The sequence below is a fragment of the Homo sapiens genome, chromosome 18 (assembly GCF_000001405.40).
Source record: "Homo sapiens chromosome 18, GRCh38.p14 Primary Assembly".
Lineage (NCBI taxonomy): Eukaryota > Metazoa > Chordata > Mammalia > Primates > Hominidae > Homo > Homo sapiens.
This window is the reverse complement of record NC_000018.10, coordinates 46,379,967-46,397,545: the sequence shown is the minus strand read 5'-3', so window position 1 is coordinate 46,397,545 and position 17,579 is coordinate 46,379,967. Positions and strand designations below refer to the sequence as shown.

At 50.8% G+C, this 17,579-nt stretch overlaps 1 protein-coding gene and 1 long non-coding RNA gene across 5 annotated transcripts in view, besides 2 other annotated features; one reads left to right on the top strand and one right to left on the bottom strand.

Moving 5' to 3' along the window:
• The window catches only part of ARK2C (arkadia (RNF111) C-terminal like ring finger ubiquitin ligase 2C), a 129,123-nt gene that overhangs the window by 65,595 nt on the left and 45,949 nt on the right, over positions 1–17,579 (bottom strand). The gene's annotated exons all lie outside the window — the stretch shown is intronic.
• Positions 4,349–4,882: an enhancer, noted in NCBI's record as "H3K27ac-H3K4me1 hESC enhancer chr18:43972627-43973160 (GRCh37/hg19 assembly coordinates)". NCBI's record gives its function as "activates a minimal SCP1, AML or CMV promoter by ChIP-STARR-seq in naive H9 embryonic stem cells {active_cell/tissue: H9 hESC(naive)}" and the evidence as "EXISTENCE:reporter gene assay evidence [ECO:0000049][PMID:30033119]".
• Positions 8,008–9,443, top strand: LOC105372095 (uncharacterized). Its single transcript, XR_007066354.1, has 4 exons — positions 8,008–8,148; positions 8,288–8,417; positions 8,670–8,844; positions 9,245–9,443. It is a non-coding gene; the product is annotated as an uncharacterized LOC105372095 (long non-coding RNA).
• Positions 9,881–10,381: an enhancer, noted in NCBI's record as "H3K27ac hESC enhancer chr18:43967128-43967628 (GRCh37/hg19 assembly coordinates)". NCBI's record gives its function as "activates a minimal SCP1, AML or CMV promoter by ChIP-STARR-seq in primed H9 embryonic stem cells {active_cell/tissue: H9 hESC(primed)}" and the evidence as "EXISTENCE:reporter gene assay evidence [ECO:0000049][PMID:30033119]".

Here is a 17,579-nt window from a genome sequence, read left to right as displayed (position 1 = left end):
ATGACCCCACACACACACCACCTCACACCTCAGCATGACCACACACACACACACACCCTCACACCTCAGCATGACCACACACACACACACACCCCCTCACACCTCAGCATGACCACACACACACACCACATGCACACACACCCTCACACCTCAGCATGACCACACACACACACAGGCACCCTTCCCTGTTCCTAGTGACTGATATAATCTCTGCTCTGTCACCTACTGAGAAACCACATACACTGGTCTTGTATTTCCTGATCTGGAAGGAATCTCACTTCCCCTCCCACCCCCAGTCCTCACTCCTGACCCTAGGAAAGGCTGAAGGAGGGAAGAGAGAGAGGCATGACATCTACCTAAGGCCAACCCTCCTCCTCCAAGTTGGAGTGCAGAAAGAGGGGACGCCTCCGGCAGGGCCCTCCCAGACAACACCAAGCCTGGGTTCCAGGCCGGGCCCAGGGGAAGCCAACCTCACGGACTCCTGACAGAAGAAAGCTTCCTGCTTCTAAGAATCTGGGCCACGCTCGCACAGCCAGCACTGAGGTAGAAGGGAGCCATAGGCCACCCTTCCAGAGCGATTGGGCTTGCAAAGGAAAGGGGAACCCCCCAGGCTGCCCAGGCACAGCTGGATGTGACTGAACTGAGCCAGTTGGACAATTAGCGGAAAATCCACCCAACCCACGTCATGCCAAGAACCTGGGAAGAGTTTCCAGAGACAGGGCCCCACCACGCCCGTCCTTGGATGCCCTGAGCTGTCCCGACATAGGCGTGGTGCACATGGCCAGCACCATGAAGGCTGCTGGTGTCCCTTCTCTGCAGTCCCCTATCAATTGTGCCTAAGCTTTGGTTCATGGTCCCGACAGCCAGGCCGAGAAGTGAACAAAATCTCTGACTCCCTTGGATTCAATAGGGCTGAGCTCAGTGGACAGTAGATACTTACCAAAGACCACTGAATTGAGTTCAAGAAAACAAATTGAAATAATTTCACATTTACCAACTATTATCTGAAAAGCTACTGTGTGCCAGGCACCTGCTAGGTCTTGGGACTCAGGGATGAATAAGGCCCATACTGTCATGGAGTTCACCATCCTGAGAGGTGACAGGAGACCTGCTCTGTGTCTGGGCAGGTAGAATGTCTCTGCAAGAGCCTGAACCCACTAACGCTTCACTTCTCTCTCTCACTGATGGGCCACGAGCTTCCAGGAACTGAGCCAGAAGACCAGATGAGCACTATGAGACAACAACTACAAAAATGGCCTCCATTCCCTCCTCTTCACTTCTGCTCCCTTGTGATGTGACTCTGCAGCTCTCTCAGTCAAGAGGTAGAGTCTATTTCCCCATCTTTGAATGTGGGCTGGCTTTGTGACTTGCTTTGGCCAATAGAAGAAGGTGGAAGTGACTGTTCTAGCTCCAAGCCTAAGCCCCAAAGGGTCTTGCATATTTCTCTTGGTCTCTGTGTCTCTAAGATTCCTGCCTTTGCTATGTGAGCAAGCTGAGCTAACCTGCTGGACCATGAGAGACCACACAGAACAACGCCAAGTCTGCCTGGTCATTCCAGCCAAGGCCATGTGACAGAGCCCAGCCAAGAGCAGCAAGCCACACGTGTCTGAGTGAGCCCCAATGAGCCTAAATGAGATCGGAAGAACTACTGGGCTTTCCCATAGAATGGCGAGCAATAATAAGTGATTGTGGTTCTCTACTCAACTCCTTCCTCCCATCACCACCTGGCCCCAGAAAGCTCTGGAAGTAAGAGAATTCTTAGGTTGAGACCCTTGCATTGGGCATGACTATTTGTTCACTTCTCCCAAACCCAAGCTTAGGCATTTTCCCAGGTAAACACCAGCTGAGATCCTGGGCTCCTTGGAGCTCCAGACAGTGAATGAGATCTTATCCCCTGCAGCAGGAATTATGGTAAAATCCCGGACTTTGGGGCCATACAGACTCAGGTTTGAGTCCCAGCTGCTGTAGATGAGTTACTTAGTATCACTCAGCCCCAGCAAACTCATCCTTAAAGCAAAGATGACAATAAAGCTGATTCTTCTAAGGGCTGCCATGAGGATTACGTGTGATGATATATGCACAGAAGTAGTTCTCAACAACCAAGCCAGGGATGCTACTAGCATCTAGTGGGGAGGTGCCAGGAATGCTGCCAAACACCCAACAAAGCACGGAACAGCCCCTGCAACAAAGAATCATCCTGCCCAAAATGTCAGTAGTGACAAAGTAAAGAAATCCAGTCTCTGGGCCAGTCCCTGGCACTATGGTAAGCAGCCATGGAGATGGTCACACAGTCCCCTGGAGACGTGGGCTCAAGGACCCCTGCACTCTTCCTGGAAAATCCAGGGGAAAGTACTAATAGCAAACGTGGTACTGGAAATAACTGGTTCAACTTCCATCTTTTAATCCCTCCACCCCATAGCTCCATAAAATGGGAGTCCAGCTAGTCAGCGTTGACTTCAGGCATAAGCTTGAGTTCCAGCGAGGAGAGGGGGTACCTGTATGACACTTCTGAGTTTCTGGCAGATTCTTGGTCCGAAAGAAGCTGTCTCCACAGGCTACATGAGGCTTTGCATGGACATTATAGCACATTCGGAGCAAAGCCCCACATACGTGAAAGTTCATGTTAGTCAAATGTTCCAGGTTTGCAGAGTTATTCTGCATCCTCTACCAGGGCATCTATTTTCAAAGAACTAGCCTGTAATAAAATACCTGCAACCTTCCTTTGTTTATTCAGGAAGCCTTTGGATCCTGCAGAAACACACTCAGGACCATTATCAGGATCCACAGTCGTCCTTGAACAGTGGTGTGGACATGAAGGAAAGCTGTGGGTTTCCTGCTTGTTTGGAGGAGTCTATCAGAGCCAATTTAGAAGTAACCTCGCCAGGGTCATTAGTTTGTTATGAATGTATTTCAAACCAGGGGAAACTGTATTCCATTTGCCCAATCTGGGCCTCAGCAGAGACTTCCCCTCTGTGGCTATGTGAGCAGAGATGAACTGAATGCTGAATGAGAGTGGGCACTCAGCCTGGCTGGGGGGAAGGTGGAGGATGGAGACTCGTGACCCACAGAACTGCACATCCCCAGAGATGCCTTAGGCATCAGGCAGCAGACAGTTCAGGAGGAGAGGGAGAGCTGTGTCATCTCCGAGAGTGAACCCCGTCACAATTACATTTCAGGGACACCTGGCAAGCTAGAAGGAGGGAGCTCTCTCTGTCTTGGGCAAAGGATATGACCAGTGAGCTGGGACGCAACTAGAGATTCCCAGGCCAGGGCTCTCGCTTTTGCCCCAGAAGGATTCCTCTGCCATGGTGAAATCAAGGCAGGCACCTTGTCCCTTCAGGCCCTTGTTTTTGCCCTGTGTAAATTCTGTCCCTCGGCAGGGGACCCCATCTGTCTCATCATCCCTAGTCACTTGCATCCAAGTGAAAAGGCTCTTGAGGGAGGAAATTAGAGTCTGGTGTGTGGCAGGATTTCCGGTACCCGAGGGCAACAGGAAGCTAACAGGGAAGGTTGGGGTTACCTAAGGCGAGCTGCACCTGCTTCCCATGATGCCAGGGGCCAGCCCCACTGCATCCTCCCTCCAGAATCCCACAGGATCCCCACCAGGCAGTGGGCACTATTGTAAGCCTCACATCAACTAATATTCAGAAGGATTAAGTAACCACAGAGCCACGAAGTGGCAGAGGCAAGATTTGAACCCAGGTCTGTCAGACTCCAGAGCCCAGCAGAGCAAGACCAGCGCTCATGACCTGCCAGGCTCTCCAAAAGGTGAGTCCACCATCTTTCTACTTACTGGCCTCTCTCCCCACTGGCCTGCAGAGTAGCCAATGTCCCTGAATACTGGGAAATGACTTCCCTGGGTGGAAGGTTTCAGGCATGTGGAAGATACATCAAGGTTTGAGAAGAACTGGGGGTGGGGTGACCTTAGACCTTAGTGGTCTAAGACCTTACACTTTGCTGATTAAACAGCATAAGGGCCAGCTCCAGTCCTATGTAGATGGGGTGGGGTGGTGGCGGGGGGCGTCCAGACAGGGTATGAAGCTCTGGCAGAAAGAGAAGGAAGCCTCCCAGCCCCATTTCTAAAGCCCTGGGCCAGAAGAGGAAACAGCGCACCCTTCTGGCGTCTGCCCTCAGGCCTGCCTCCCACAGAGAGCTGGTGGTCAGCGGGAAGGTGTCTGCCTGTCAGGCAGGGCCTGGCCAGATGCACCCCACACCTCGAGACTGCTCTCCACCGGCCCAGAACAAGAGCTGGGAACAGTCACCCCACAAAGTTTTCCGCAAACTTAAGTGGATGTTGTCAGGATGAAACCAGTGGTCATAACCTCTTGGCAAAGTTAGAATTCATATCACAATGCCCTTTCTTGGTGTTGCTTTTAAAAACAGACCCACGATGTCAGTAAATCTGATCAGAAAAAGTCTGGATTTGTGAAGCTCAGACAGCAGGAAGTGACTCCTCACATTGCGAAGGACTCATCCTGCCACTAAGTAGCTGTGTGCCTGTGAGCAAGTCCCCAGGCCCTTCTGGGTCTCTGCAAAATGAGGTGAGGAGGCTGCCTTATGGTTGCCGATTTCCCTTCCAGGGTGGTGTGTCTTGGGTTTCCATGGTGTTTCTTGGGTTTCTGGAGCTGGAATCCAGAGGGTAGCAGGATTAGGAGTCACTCCCCAAAGACCAGGAGGTCATCTCACTGAAGGGTCCAACTCCACCCAGGCGTGTTGTCCTCCTGGGTGCAGGAGCGGTGCCACTGCATGCGTGTTCCTCACACAGGCCCCGTCCGGGCTGGGTACCTGGCGGGGCACACTGAAGAACTGAATCAAGGGCTCTGGCACCCAGAGGGGAGAGACTGACAAGGCACAGGACCGTGTCACCCTCAGCCCGAGGCTGGCCCAGTGTCCCCCAGCCTTGGCCTCACTCCATGGGTCTTCCCCATGAACTGACCCATCACCCCGGACAAGGGCTCCCCAGAGCCTCTCCTCTGAGCCGTGTCCACTGACCTGGCAGGACAGGGGCTCTGGCCACAGGGAGCCTTCAGAGACTCCTGGAGTGGCTCTGAGAGCTGGCAAACAATAAAATACGGAGTTCTTGTCCATTCCCGCCAAATGTGGTCAGCAAGCCACCAAAAGAGGGCCCTGAGGGCCCTGAGGGCCTTAGCCTGGGGGAGCTTACAGAGTGGACACCAGGACAATCTGCATAGCAGGGAACCCTGAGCTGAATCTAATTAAATGTTCCTTCAAGCATTCAGGGAGCGGGGGGCATCCAGGTGTCTTTGGGCAAGAGGCGGATCTAAGGTGAAGGCCAGGTAAGGTGACCAGGTGAGAGGGGAACAGGATGGGGATGAGTTGGAGGCAAGGATGACCACAGTATGTGTGCATGTGTGTGGTACACGTGTGTGGTGTGCATGTGTGTTTGTTGTGTATATTGTGTGTGCTGGGCACAGTGTGTGTATGCGTGGTGTGTGTGTATGTTGTGTGTTGTATATATTGTGTGTGGTGTGTGTGTTGTATGTATTATGTGTGGTGTGTAAGGTGTGTGTGTTGTGTGCATATGTGTGGTATGTGTGTACGTGGTGTGTTGTGTATGGTGTGTATTGTGTCATGTGCGTGTGTGTTGTGTGCATGGTGTACGTGTATAAGTGTGTGTTGGTGTGTGTAGTATGTGTGCATGCTGTGTATATGGGTTGCATATGGGGGGTGTATTGTGCAGGGTATGTGGTCTGTACATGTGTTATATGTGTGTTGTGGTTGTGTATTATGTGTGTGGATGTATTGTATAGTGTGTGTGTGCGTGTGTGTGTTTGTGGCACAGATCTTGGGAAGGGTGAGTGAACAGAGGATGCTGACTGGAGATTGACATGTCCCAAGCCCTTTACACCAGGTAAGTGGTGTGCAAACATTTTAATATGTCACCAAACCAAGCAGAACAGCTCAGGGTGAGGGAAGGTGGGAAAGCCTGGCTGTGCAAACTACCCTGCTCGAGCAGGGCCTGCCCCATAGAGGCCTCAGGAGCTCCAGGCTTCCCACAGAACATGGGGCTACACAGAGTGTGTTCAACACACATGACGGATGAGGACACTGAGGGTGGAATAGCGGCAACCACAACCGTAGTGTCCTTTCCCTTGATCTGAGAGCATACAGTGAGCCCAGCCCCGTACTAGGCCTCGCCTCTGATTCCCAGGACAACCTGAAAGAGCTGTAATGTCGTCCCATTTGGCCAACAGAGAGCCCATGGGACACAGTGGTTCAGGTGCTTACCCCAGGTCACCCGCTACAGGTGAAGGTGCTGAGTCTAGAACCCCAGCCTCCCACCTCAAGACTAAGCGAGATCACTCATGTGAAATGAACCCATGAGCAAGTGCTCTGTGACCTGTAAACTGTAAGTGATGAATTGCGAAGTGGCGAACCCTGTTTATGGAGGCGATTGGTGCCATTTTGTCCTCAGACCCATGGGGTAGGAACTCTCTCCACAGCCACCCAGCCAACAAAAGCAGAGTTCAATTCAGACCCAAGGGCAGACTTTTACATCATTATTAAATGTGCAGAATTTCCATTTCATTTGCTGTTTTCAAGAATCCCAATGACACCCTTTTATAGATGGTAGAGGTGCAGGTCAATAAATAACCCATTTGGTAGAATAGTTGCTCCCATTTTCTGAGTGCTTCCTCAAGTGATTTATCCATTGTTTCATCTGATCCTCACACCCCATGAGGCATTAATATCCCCATTTTACAGACAAGAGAATGAAGCACCAAGAATAAGGGTGCCCGGCTCAGAAGTGGTGCAACTGGAACCTGAGCCCAGCCCAGTATAGGATTCCGAGCCACCGCCTTCCCACATTTCCTTTGTATCTCCTTAGCCTGATATTCCACACCCCATAAATGCTGCTGAATGGGGGCTGATGGACTAACTGTCCTACAGAGAAAAGAAAAGAGAAAACGGCTTATTTCTATCACTTTGAGAAGGGTTAGTATTTTTTTTCACACAAAGCTGGAACTCCACAAGCTTTAAATATGAGTTCCACTGAAAATAGATAGAATATATATGCCCGTCTTCTGAGAAATGAGTCACACTACCCGAAGACATAGAAGCAGTGACCCGTCTTCAAACACTGTCATTGGCTGTCAGGCCAAGGATGGCTGATGAAGTCAGCAAAATTTCCTTCAAGTCCCCAACTCTGGCTTAATCTCCACAATGCCCCATTCCTGCACCAACACCCAGCGGGCAGGAAGAGTCACAGGGTCTGGAGATGTTGGGGATGGCTGTGAGGCTTCTTCACCACCTGGAAAGATGGGGTGATTTAGACAGTGATGGGAAGGAGGAGCAGGACATCCTAGGTGAGAGTCCCAGCAGGAATCGGCCCAGTTCCCACCTGACTTGCCAGCCTGGCTCATCCCACAGGGGTTGGGGTGGGGAGGTCAGGAAGAGGGAGAGGAGCATATTTGCAGAAGGCAGGGAAGCCAGAGTGGCTTTGAAGACCCAGGGGAAGAATTGGGGAACAGAGCCTCTGGTCACTGGTTAGAAATGACCATTTCATGGTGGCTCACGCCTATAGTCCAAGCACTTTGGGAGGCCAAGGTAGCAGGTCAGTTGAGCTCAGGAGTTTAAGACCAGCCTGGGCAACATGGCAAAACCCTGTCTCTACAAAAAATACAAAACTTAGCTGGGTATGGTGGCACGTGCCTATAGTCCCAACTACCAGGGAGGCTGAGGTGGGAGGATCAGCTGAGACTGGGCAGTCGAGGCTGCAGTGAGCCAAGATTGCACCACTGCACTGCAGCCTGGGTGACAGTGTGAGACCTTGTCTGAAAAAAAAAAAGGAAAGAAATGACCATTTCACTTCCTGGAGAGAGCTGCTATGGCTTGAATAAAATCTAGTAGGGGCCTAAGACAGCTCCCGGGTGGGCCCAAGTCCCTGAAGTCTGGAAGTCTGGGTTTGGAGAAGCGATGAGGGATGGGCTGGGGAAAGCGTAATAATCCACCCCCACGGTTGCCCCTGACAACAGCAAACTCTAGACCGGGGTGGGAGACTGTCTCTGCTCTCATCAGCTGTGGGCCTTGAGCCAGGGGTCCCTCTCACTCCTACATATACTTCCGTGCCTACAAAATGAAGGGATTGAACCAGATGACCTGACACTCTTTGTTTCCTAAAACAGTGTGAGTCTGTCCAGTGGGACTTTATCCAGTGTGTTTAGAACTTACAGTGATGTTTTATTTATCAGCATTGTTGGGAAAGATGCACATAAGTAAATTTTCTCTATAACAGAAATTTACCCATTGAATCTCTATCTTTCAGTTTGGAAACCTTTCCTAAATGCTCGTGCACTTAACTTTCTTGGTTCCTTCAGAGGTGAATAAATACAGTGGATGTTTCCCTGTTTCCTTGTGGTCCTCACTACCTGATGGTGACTTATGAGACAAGATGGGTATGTGCCCACTCCTCTCAGCTATCTGCTCTGTGGTCCCTAAGCCTGTCTTCCCCCTCCAATAGTTGTTCCCAATCTGTTGTGGACCTTGAGCCAAGATAGGACCCTGATTCTGGTAGAATTCCTCGTGAACCGAGAGTCAATAAGCTATTAAAGAAATCCAATAAACAGCCACAGAGTTAAGTACATGAGCTTCATGGCAATTGCTTCAATGTTTCGTGTCTTTTTTTTTCTTTATCTCTGTGTTCTTAGGTCTGTTTTTAACTGCCCCTAAGTGGGGTGTGAAATTTTCACCCACACCCACCTCTCCACAAAAACACACCTCTGAGTTCTCTACGTTTACCCCTCACTCGGGAAATGGAAATTGCTTTGATTTATCCTGAGCCCACCTTCTGAAAAAGCTGCTTTTTCCTGTTGTCTAGGATTGGTGAGTAAACCCATGCCCAGCCCCAAGCCCCTTCTTCATGTCTTGAGGAACCTAAACCTCCCGAGTGAAAAGAAGTCACAGAGGTCCATCGCTCCCCAGATCCCAATTGAGGGCAGCTTGGTTCAGTGCCAACCCCGTGTGCTTCCTGCGCCCTTGATCATGGCCAAGGTGCACCACAAAAACAGAGTTGTGTGTGTCTTGCTGCCCGATCTCCTGCTAAACGTGCAGGTCCCAACATGTGTTTCAGGAACAAATTGTTCCACAGGATTGAGCAGCTGCTAGGTCACTGAAGGGTCCCAGGATCAAATGTATCTAAGAAGTGCATGGAAACATTATAAAGTTGAAAAAGTTAAACAAGGTTTTTGTTTTGTTTTGTTTTGTTTCCTGCCAACTTCTCCAGGTTTGCAACCTTTCCAAGTCTTTTGCATACTGTATGAGTGGTGAATCTTCGAGTTAGAGGTGGTATTACATACAGGATTTCTCCAACTTACTTAGCCAGGGAACCCAAACACCCCTTGAAAATGCCATCTTACTATGTAGCTATCTCCCTTCACCTCCCAGCTGTAATCCCAAATAAACATGTAACCTTCAGTAAGCCACTTTCTCTCTCTCAGCTTTATACTCTTTGTGTGTCAAATAAGGGTGTTCATCTAGATGGGGAATGGCAAAGAGGCCTGCTTGGAACGCAAGTGCCAGCTTGAATCTTGGAAATCCCCAGCCTGTGGGGATTGTTCAGAGGAATTCTGATGCTGCCTGTAGGCTTGAAGGAACAGCTGCCACGGTTGATTAGGCGTGACTGCCCCAGTCCTAAGAGCTGGACTGGCAGCCTGCGTTGCCCTGCACTGGCTGTCCCTGTAACTAAATAACCCCTAAGGTCAGCTTCTGCTTCAAGAGGCTGCTTTGGGTGCACACAGATCCCTGAGCTGACCCTGGGATTTCAGCAGTCCTCGATGATGAAGACTAGAAGCTTCTCCCGTCCCAGCGTTTGACTTCCAAACTGAAGCTATCTGTGGTTTCTGGTCTGTTCCCATTCAGGGGCCCTTGCACCCTCCACGGGTCTGTATGCCCAGCTCTGGACTTCTTCCAAGTGGGGAATGTTTTTCTTGCTTCATGCCCTCCAGAGCTACACCCAGGTGGTGCCGGGAAGCACAGGGACTTCCACATTTTGCACAGCCTGGAGGGGAATTTGGCACTAAAGTTGGGACAAGTTTCTCCCCTAGTCCTGGAATATTGCAAGTTCTGTACACATTTCTTGTCCTCAGAGCTAATGCTGTTTTTGTACTGGATTCACTCCCAAAGGCCTGCACTGTCCAAAGGAAAAGCTGCTTTCCTTACTTCAGAGTGGTTCCCCAAGCTCTGCACTGGAATCATGGAGGATGGGGGCTTGTTTCAATGCAGATCCCCAACCCCCTCACCCACTTGCTGAATGGGACTCTCTGGAGGTGGGGCCTGGTTATCTGCCTTTTTTTATGCATGCCTCAGCTGGACGTTGAAGTTTGAGAACAAGCCATGAAGAAACTTGTCTGCTAAGCTGGACAGACTGTAGCCCTCTGTTGACAAGCTATGTCAGAGTGTCACTGCTGTGAGACCACCAAAAATCACTGCTTCCCTGGCCTGGCGCACTCTCCTCAGCCTCTTTACCCAGCCTGTCTACTGCCCCTCAGAACTGTGTGAGGAATGAATTAGAAGAGAATGTTGGCCAAGTGCCTGGTTCAGCAGCGGCACGCAGCAGTGCCCAGGAATGTCAGTGTCCCCCGCCAAAAGGAGTAGCTGCTCCTCCGCCACCCAAACACTGCCCATGATGCCAAAGGTACTAGAAATCAGAAAGTGGGGGACTCCCAAAATGGCCTAAATCCTGTCTGCTGTGGGAAGAAGGAAGGAGGAAGTGATGAGAAGTGAAAACAAAATGTTCCTCTGAGAGCCGCATGTCCAGCTCCCCAGTTCTTCCTACCTATAAAGACAGCACCATGTCCCAGAAAGAGAATCTCCACTGAAAGGACAGCTGCCAGGGACAGGGAAAAGATCCTGTTTTGTTCACTACTCTATAGCTATCTACATGGTTGGAATGAAATGAGCACTTAATAATTATCTGCCGGATGGAATGATGGATGGATGGGTGGATGGGTGGGTGAATGGATGGATGGATGGATGGATTGATGGGGGGTCAAGACATAAGATAGCTTAGCAAAAGACCTGGATTCTAGTTCTGGCCCCAGTCCTTACCAGGCCTTAGGGAAAAAAAAATTGATATTAACCCCTCTGCCTCTGCTTCCTATAAAACAATGAAGTTTACACCTGCCCCAGCTCCACCATAAGGGGAGCTTGTGTCTCAAATGAAATGACTATATATTTGATGGTACCTGGTAAGCCATCAGATTTGTACAAATGTCAGAGATGAAGGCAACGATGACAATGCTGATGATTAAAGAGTAGAAGGGTGTCGGACAGTCTACAGATCTTTGTATGTGCAGAGAAGGCTTTCATTCAGCTCCCTCGCCAGTGTAAGAAATGAGGCAGCCAGAGGAAGAGAAACCCTGGCATGTAGGTAGCTAACAGCATTTCCCTGAGAACATGGCCCCTGGACAGATGGGCCTTGGCATTTGCTTCTAAGGCCTCACAAAACTGAGGGTGAACCCCAATACTTTATTTTTGGCAAAACAGCTGAGAAAGAGGCCCAGATGGTTGGAAGCAACTCCCTTCCGGAGACAAGGGGTTCTTGGGGCCAGAGCATCAGAACCACCACACACCGCCATGAGGTCATCTAGCCCCATCCCCTTATTTTATGAAGACAGCATTACAGTCTTCTTGGCATGTATTAGTAAAAGCAACTCTTCCAGCCCCAGATACCTCACCAGGCTCAGCTGAAACACTTATCACTTACAGAGGGGGCAAAAATCTCTTTTCCAATATAAAGGCAAACACTGATTTTTTAATTAACTGCCTCGAGGGGGTCCTGCCAAAAGTGCAGGCTTGGAGCAAGAGGCTGGGGAGGGGCACAGAAGCTCTGGGAAGAGCTGGTGAGGGCTCAGTTCATGCTCCAAAGGGGGACAGCTGACACTTCTAGATCAGGGGCTGTGGGGCTTGTATTAAGATTTTCTGTCTGTGCATTTCAAAGTAAGTTTTGTTCCTGCTTCTACCTATCAGCAGACAGGAGCAGAATCTGGGGGATTTGGAGCTCCAGAGCCTGTTCTCTGTCCACTAGAGTCAGTAGAGCCACGCTAGAAAAGCTCCTGGGTTTCAACCTGGACATCCTTGTGCAACACCTTCCTCTTCAGAATCCCTCCCTGCACACATATGCACACGCACACTCACACACACATGCACAGGCACATGCAAGTCCTTCCTTCCAGACAAAACAATCTGTTATCAGTCATTTACACCCACTTGTCCTCACAAGCCACCACTTTCATCTCCCAGGAGAGCTCTCATCTCTGTGCAATTAGATTTGAGGCCCAGGAAGCAACCCTGTAATTGGTGAGGCAGGACAAGATTCCCCTGGCCCATGACATCACACCACCCAACCAAACATATTCTCTAACCCAACAGACAAGAGCTGGCACCAGTGTGGTAAGCAGGATCTCTGAGAATATACGCCAGAGTTGGCTGGACCATCTCCCATGGAGATGTCAAAAGGTTTGCCAACTGAAAGGGAGCCCTGCACACCACTCTGGAAATCTTTGAGGGGGAGGGAACAGAGATACTGTCTACGGGCACAAAGGTGACCATCAAGAAGTGAGTGGAGCTGAACCAGCTGTGTGTGTGCCCTGGCTCTGGGCTGTATCTACCAGGGAAAAGGCAGGACATTTTCTTATTCTATTTTATATTTAATTTTGTTTTATTTTATTTTTGTAGAGACAGGGTCTTGCTATTTTGCCCAGGCTGGTCTCGAACTCCTGGCCTCAAGCAATCCTCCCACTTCGGTCTCCCAAAGCACTGGGATTACAGGCATGAGCCACTGTGCTTGGCCATGATGGGCCATTTTCTAATTCATGCAAGAGTGCAGAATGGGTTGGCCATGGTCCCAAGTGGAAAGAGGTGGGAGATAGGGAATGAGTCCCCTCTCTGTTGGGAGGCTTTGCTGCTTCTCCAGGGAATCTGAGTAGGTTTGGGTATATGGGAGGCATTATGTGTGTGTCCATATGGCAGGGGTGGAAGTGGTGTGTGTATCATGGGGTGTGTATCCATGAGAAATATTCAAGGAAAGGGCAAGGGATTCAGGGGAGGAAAGAAAGTCGCCACCAGATATATTTTAAGAAAGAGGGGCCTCCCAAGCCCCAGCTAGGGGCAGATCTCTGAAGAAGAGCATCTCTGCAATAAGAAGGAAGAAGTATCAAGAATCCCCCCCACACACATACATGTACACACCAGCCTGCATGTCCTCGGGAAGACTGGACACTACGGGGAGCACCAGGTGAGGCCTTGGGCATCCCAGCCCCCTGGGACTCCAGTGCCCAGGTGGTCTTAATAACCAGAGTGGAATTCTAGATGGAGGGAGGGGTTGGCCCAGTAGATGAGGTTGGGCTGGAAGCACGGCCGGGGCAGTGGTCTTGGACAGTAAAAGCCCTGCTGTACCAACTCTGTCTTCACCATCTCTGTGTTGAGCTCTCTGGCTAGAATCCCACAGTTTCACCCCGACTGCCTCTGTCTGCTGTTAAGAAAAAATATCCAAAACTTTGAAATAATACAGAAAGAGGACTGTGTGTCCTTTTAAAGTCATGTTACAGCATTGTCTGACAGACTTCCCTAAGAGTCACTGGCCTTCCATGGCAAGATATAACTTCATCGGACTGACTACTGAGCAGACCCTGGACTCTGTAAAGTTAGTCGTTATCATTAGAAAACCAACATGGTGGCCGGGCGCGGTGGCTCACGCCTGTGATCCCAGCACTTTGGGAGGCCAAGGTGGGCGGATCACGAGGTCAGATCAAGACCATCCTGGCCAACACGGTGAAACCCCGTCTGTATTAAAAATACAAAAAATTAGCCGGGCGCGGTGGTGGCTGCCTGTAGTCCCAGCTACTCGGGAGGCTGAGGCAGGAGAATGGCATGAACCCTGGAGGCAGAGCTTGCAGTGAGCTGAGATCGCACCACTGTACTCCAATCTGGGTGACAGAGTGAGACTCCGTCTCAAAAAAAAAAAAAAAAAAAAAACAGAGAAAACCAACATGGTGCCAAGGATTTTTGTCCAATGGAGAATATAATACCAAAGGTTATGGTTTTACTGTCCTGCTAGATATTAACTAGTCTTGTGTCTAATTTAGCAGCATTAGTTTTCTCATTAACATGTGTGTGTGTATACATATTTTATATATACGTATTTTTCCTTACATCCCCTTTCGAACCAGGTGCATCATCCTGCTGGTTCCCTCATTAGCAACTTAAATAAATCACTAGATATTTGTAGAAAAATTGTATTTTTCACATTTTGAAATTTTGACTTGATGCCATCTTGGACTGACCCTCTCTGTCTTCAGCCCCCAACACCCACTGCCTCCCCTGGGTGGGAGGGGCCTGACGGCATCTCCCTTTTTGGAAGCCATCATCTGGCCATGTCTGCCTGACCCAACCAGCACCTACCCCGGCCTAGGCTAGGCCCTTGGCCTGCTCCTGGCCCAGCATGCTGAGAAGAAGGCAGGCATGAGATGGATGCCATGATCTGGCCAAGCTGGCCCAGCAGGCTAGGGGGTGCATGAGGTTCCAGACCCAGGGGGTGGGGGGAGTGAGTATTAATACATGCCAAGAAGAGTATGACGTTGTCTTCATAAAATAAGGGGATGGGACTACATGAGCTCATGGTGGTGTTTGGCAGTCCCGAGGCTCTGACGGTCCAGGAGGGATGGGTGCTGCCAGTGACCAAGCTGCTCAGATGCCAGACCTTGCCATGTTTGAAACCTGCATAGTCTCTAATTTAAGAACCTAGGCTTGGCCCTCAGTCTGCTGCCTCTTCACCCAGAGGGACACTCCATGAGCCTGTCTTTCTTTCCCTGCACACAGAGGAAATCACACCTGCCTAACTTCACGGGGCTGTGGTGGACATCAGAGGAGATGGACAATAGACAGAGGATGGTTGGGAAAATGGGAAACTTAAGTCATGCAAGGCTAACTGAGCCTGCTGAGATTCATGGGGCAGGTAGGGTTTTACTCTCAGTAGTAAGTAAAATAAGCAGTGAGAAAATAAGAGACTGACACTAGATGAATGTATTGATTTTTAAAACATTCATTGCATATAAGGGGAGGGATTCCTCTTTGTGATGAAAAGAAAATGGTAAACAACTCATCTCTGAAAACCACAGGTTTGCAGACTCAGACCCAGCCAGGACCAACCCAGGGCTCTGAGCTATGTAGTAAATCTGAAGCTGGACAGAGCCTGTGGGCCATGAGGGTCTGACAGCATGGGCCAGGCACGGGCTCCTGCACTGCCTGATTTCCTCCCCAGATGCAGATCTAAGCAACCCCTGCCTCCATGGGACCTGTCCTCAGCAGGAGGGGAAGATGACAGACCGTCCAGGAGGGATGGGTGTTACCAACAACCAAGTGTTCAGATACCAGACCTTGCCATGTTTGAAACCCTCATGGCCTCTAATTTAAGAGCCCAGCCCCCAAAGCCAACCTGGCTCTACAGATGCCCAGGCTGAGGCAGGAGGGAAGAGAGCCTGCTCCAGCTGCAAAGTTCCATCTCCCGGCACTGCTGTGGGGCTCCTGCAGAGCATCTCACCCCTGAGACCTAAGAGAAGGGAGGCCCTGCGGGTGCTTAAGCCAAAGCCCGTGCCAGAGAGCAAGGGAGTCGCACATCTCTCCAAAGACACCTGCTCGCCGGTGGTGCCTGAAACCCCACCTTTGGAGTTTTATTCCTAAGCATCTTTTTTTTTTTGAGACAGGGTCTCGCTCTGTCACCCAGATTAGGGTGCAGTGGTAGAATCCTAGCTCACTGTAGCCTCAATATCCTGGGCTCAAGCGATCCTCCCACCTCAACCTCCAGTGTAGCTGGGACTACAAGCACTTGCTATTACGCCTAGCTAATTTTTTTTATTTTTGGTAGAAACAGGGTCTCACTATGTTGCCAGGCTGGTCTTAAGTTCCTGGGCTGTAGCAATCCTCCCGCCTCAGCCTCCCAAACTGTTGGCACTACAGGTGTGAGCCACTGCCCAGGCCACCTGAGAGTCTTGAAGGATGTTTTTCCCTCCAGGAGGCTTCTCTGGAAATAGAAGGACCGTGAGAAGGACCAAACAGGGACTCAACGGATGTCCCTGAGAGCACTGGGTGAGCAATAGATGGTGATCAACTGGGACAGACATGGGCTCTGACTGCAGAGGTGAGGCCCAGGAAGCGGGGAGAGAGCAGAGAAGCTCCAAATTCTCTTGGCATGGGTCACTGTTTCTTGCGGCTAAACCTGCTCTTGTGGCCCCACATGGCAGAACCTGACTCCTCAGAGACCACGGAGGGGACAGCAAGTCTGGATGGAAATCAGGCTTTGGCCACAGAAGACAAAGGCAGTGCCTGGCCTTATCCCAATGCCTGGCTGACAAAAACAGCAATGCCTCCTCGCTTCAGAACAGCGTTGCCGTCTCACTCCATGGGGAGGGCAGAGAGATAGCCTTGTCCCTATTTTACAGATAGAAAAACTGAGGCGCAGTAGTGTGGCATGCCCAGGGCTTCCCCCACACTCCCACACATGGCCAGAGGACATGAGGCATGCGTTCCTACTCTGGAGTCAAAGGTGCTCTCTGTGACAAATGTGCTTCTGAGAGAAGGAACTCCAGCCCGGCTGGGTTTGCTCTCTGTGTAGCCTTCCTCTGTCCCTGGCCTTCCTTCTCCACTGCAGTGCTGAGACGTGGGAAGGAAGGCTGGGGCGAGTGTGATGGGGACCTGCAGGAAGGGCACCTGGTCCTAGCCCCGGGGGTTGGGGGAGCACTAGCTTTGCAACCCCTCTTTGTCCTTAGCTAGCAGGCCACTCACAAGCAGACAGCCCAGATCACACAGGCTGGGTTCGAGGCTCCAGAGTCTCAGATACTGGGGGTTGGAGACCTCAGAAGTCCCTGCTCCCTGCTCCCAGCTCCCAGTCATAGGAGATTCTCCAGCCTCCCAGCGACCAGCTCAGCAACTCTCTAAGGCAGCAGCTTCTGAAGGATGAAGCACTAGGACCTGAGGAAACGCAAGCGCCTGGGTCAGAGTTCACACAGGTAGAGCCCTGAGAACGATGCCTGGCACACCACAAGCACTGTGCAAGCGCCCCTCATAACTATTCCTGCTTTGTTCTTGATGTTGTTATTGTCATTATTACTGTCACTTCCTTCTCAAAGAAACCTTAAGCAAGTTCCTCTGGGCCTCCTTCAGCCTGCTGGATGTCCCCTGCGCACACTCCCCAAGTCGCCAGAGGAAAAGGCCAACAGCCCCCGTGGGCACCATCTTCCAAGACGCCCTTCCAGGCCCCAGCCCAGGTTCTGCACCAGCTGTGCCAGATGCCATAGGAGAGGAGACTGGCACAGCCAAAAGGCAGCAGAGAGACCATCCAGTCTTCCATTTTATAGCAGAGGAAACCAAGGCAGAGACACGAAGATGGAGAAGAAGGCAGAGGTTCGAGGCCCCTGCACTCCACCCCCACTGGGTGGGCAGTTTCTAAAAAGTTTAACCCGACAGCAGAGCTCATGGATGGGGAAACTTTGAGGCTAATAGTTGGGAGGGATTTGGGGGTGGGGTGGCCTCTGCCTTTGGAGCCTCATCTCTTCTCTGACGTT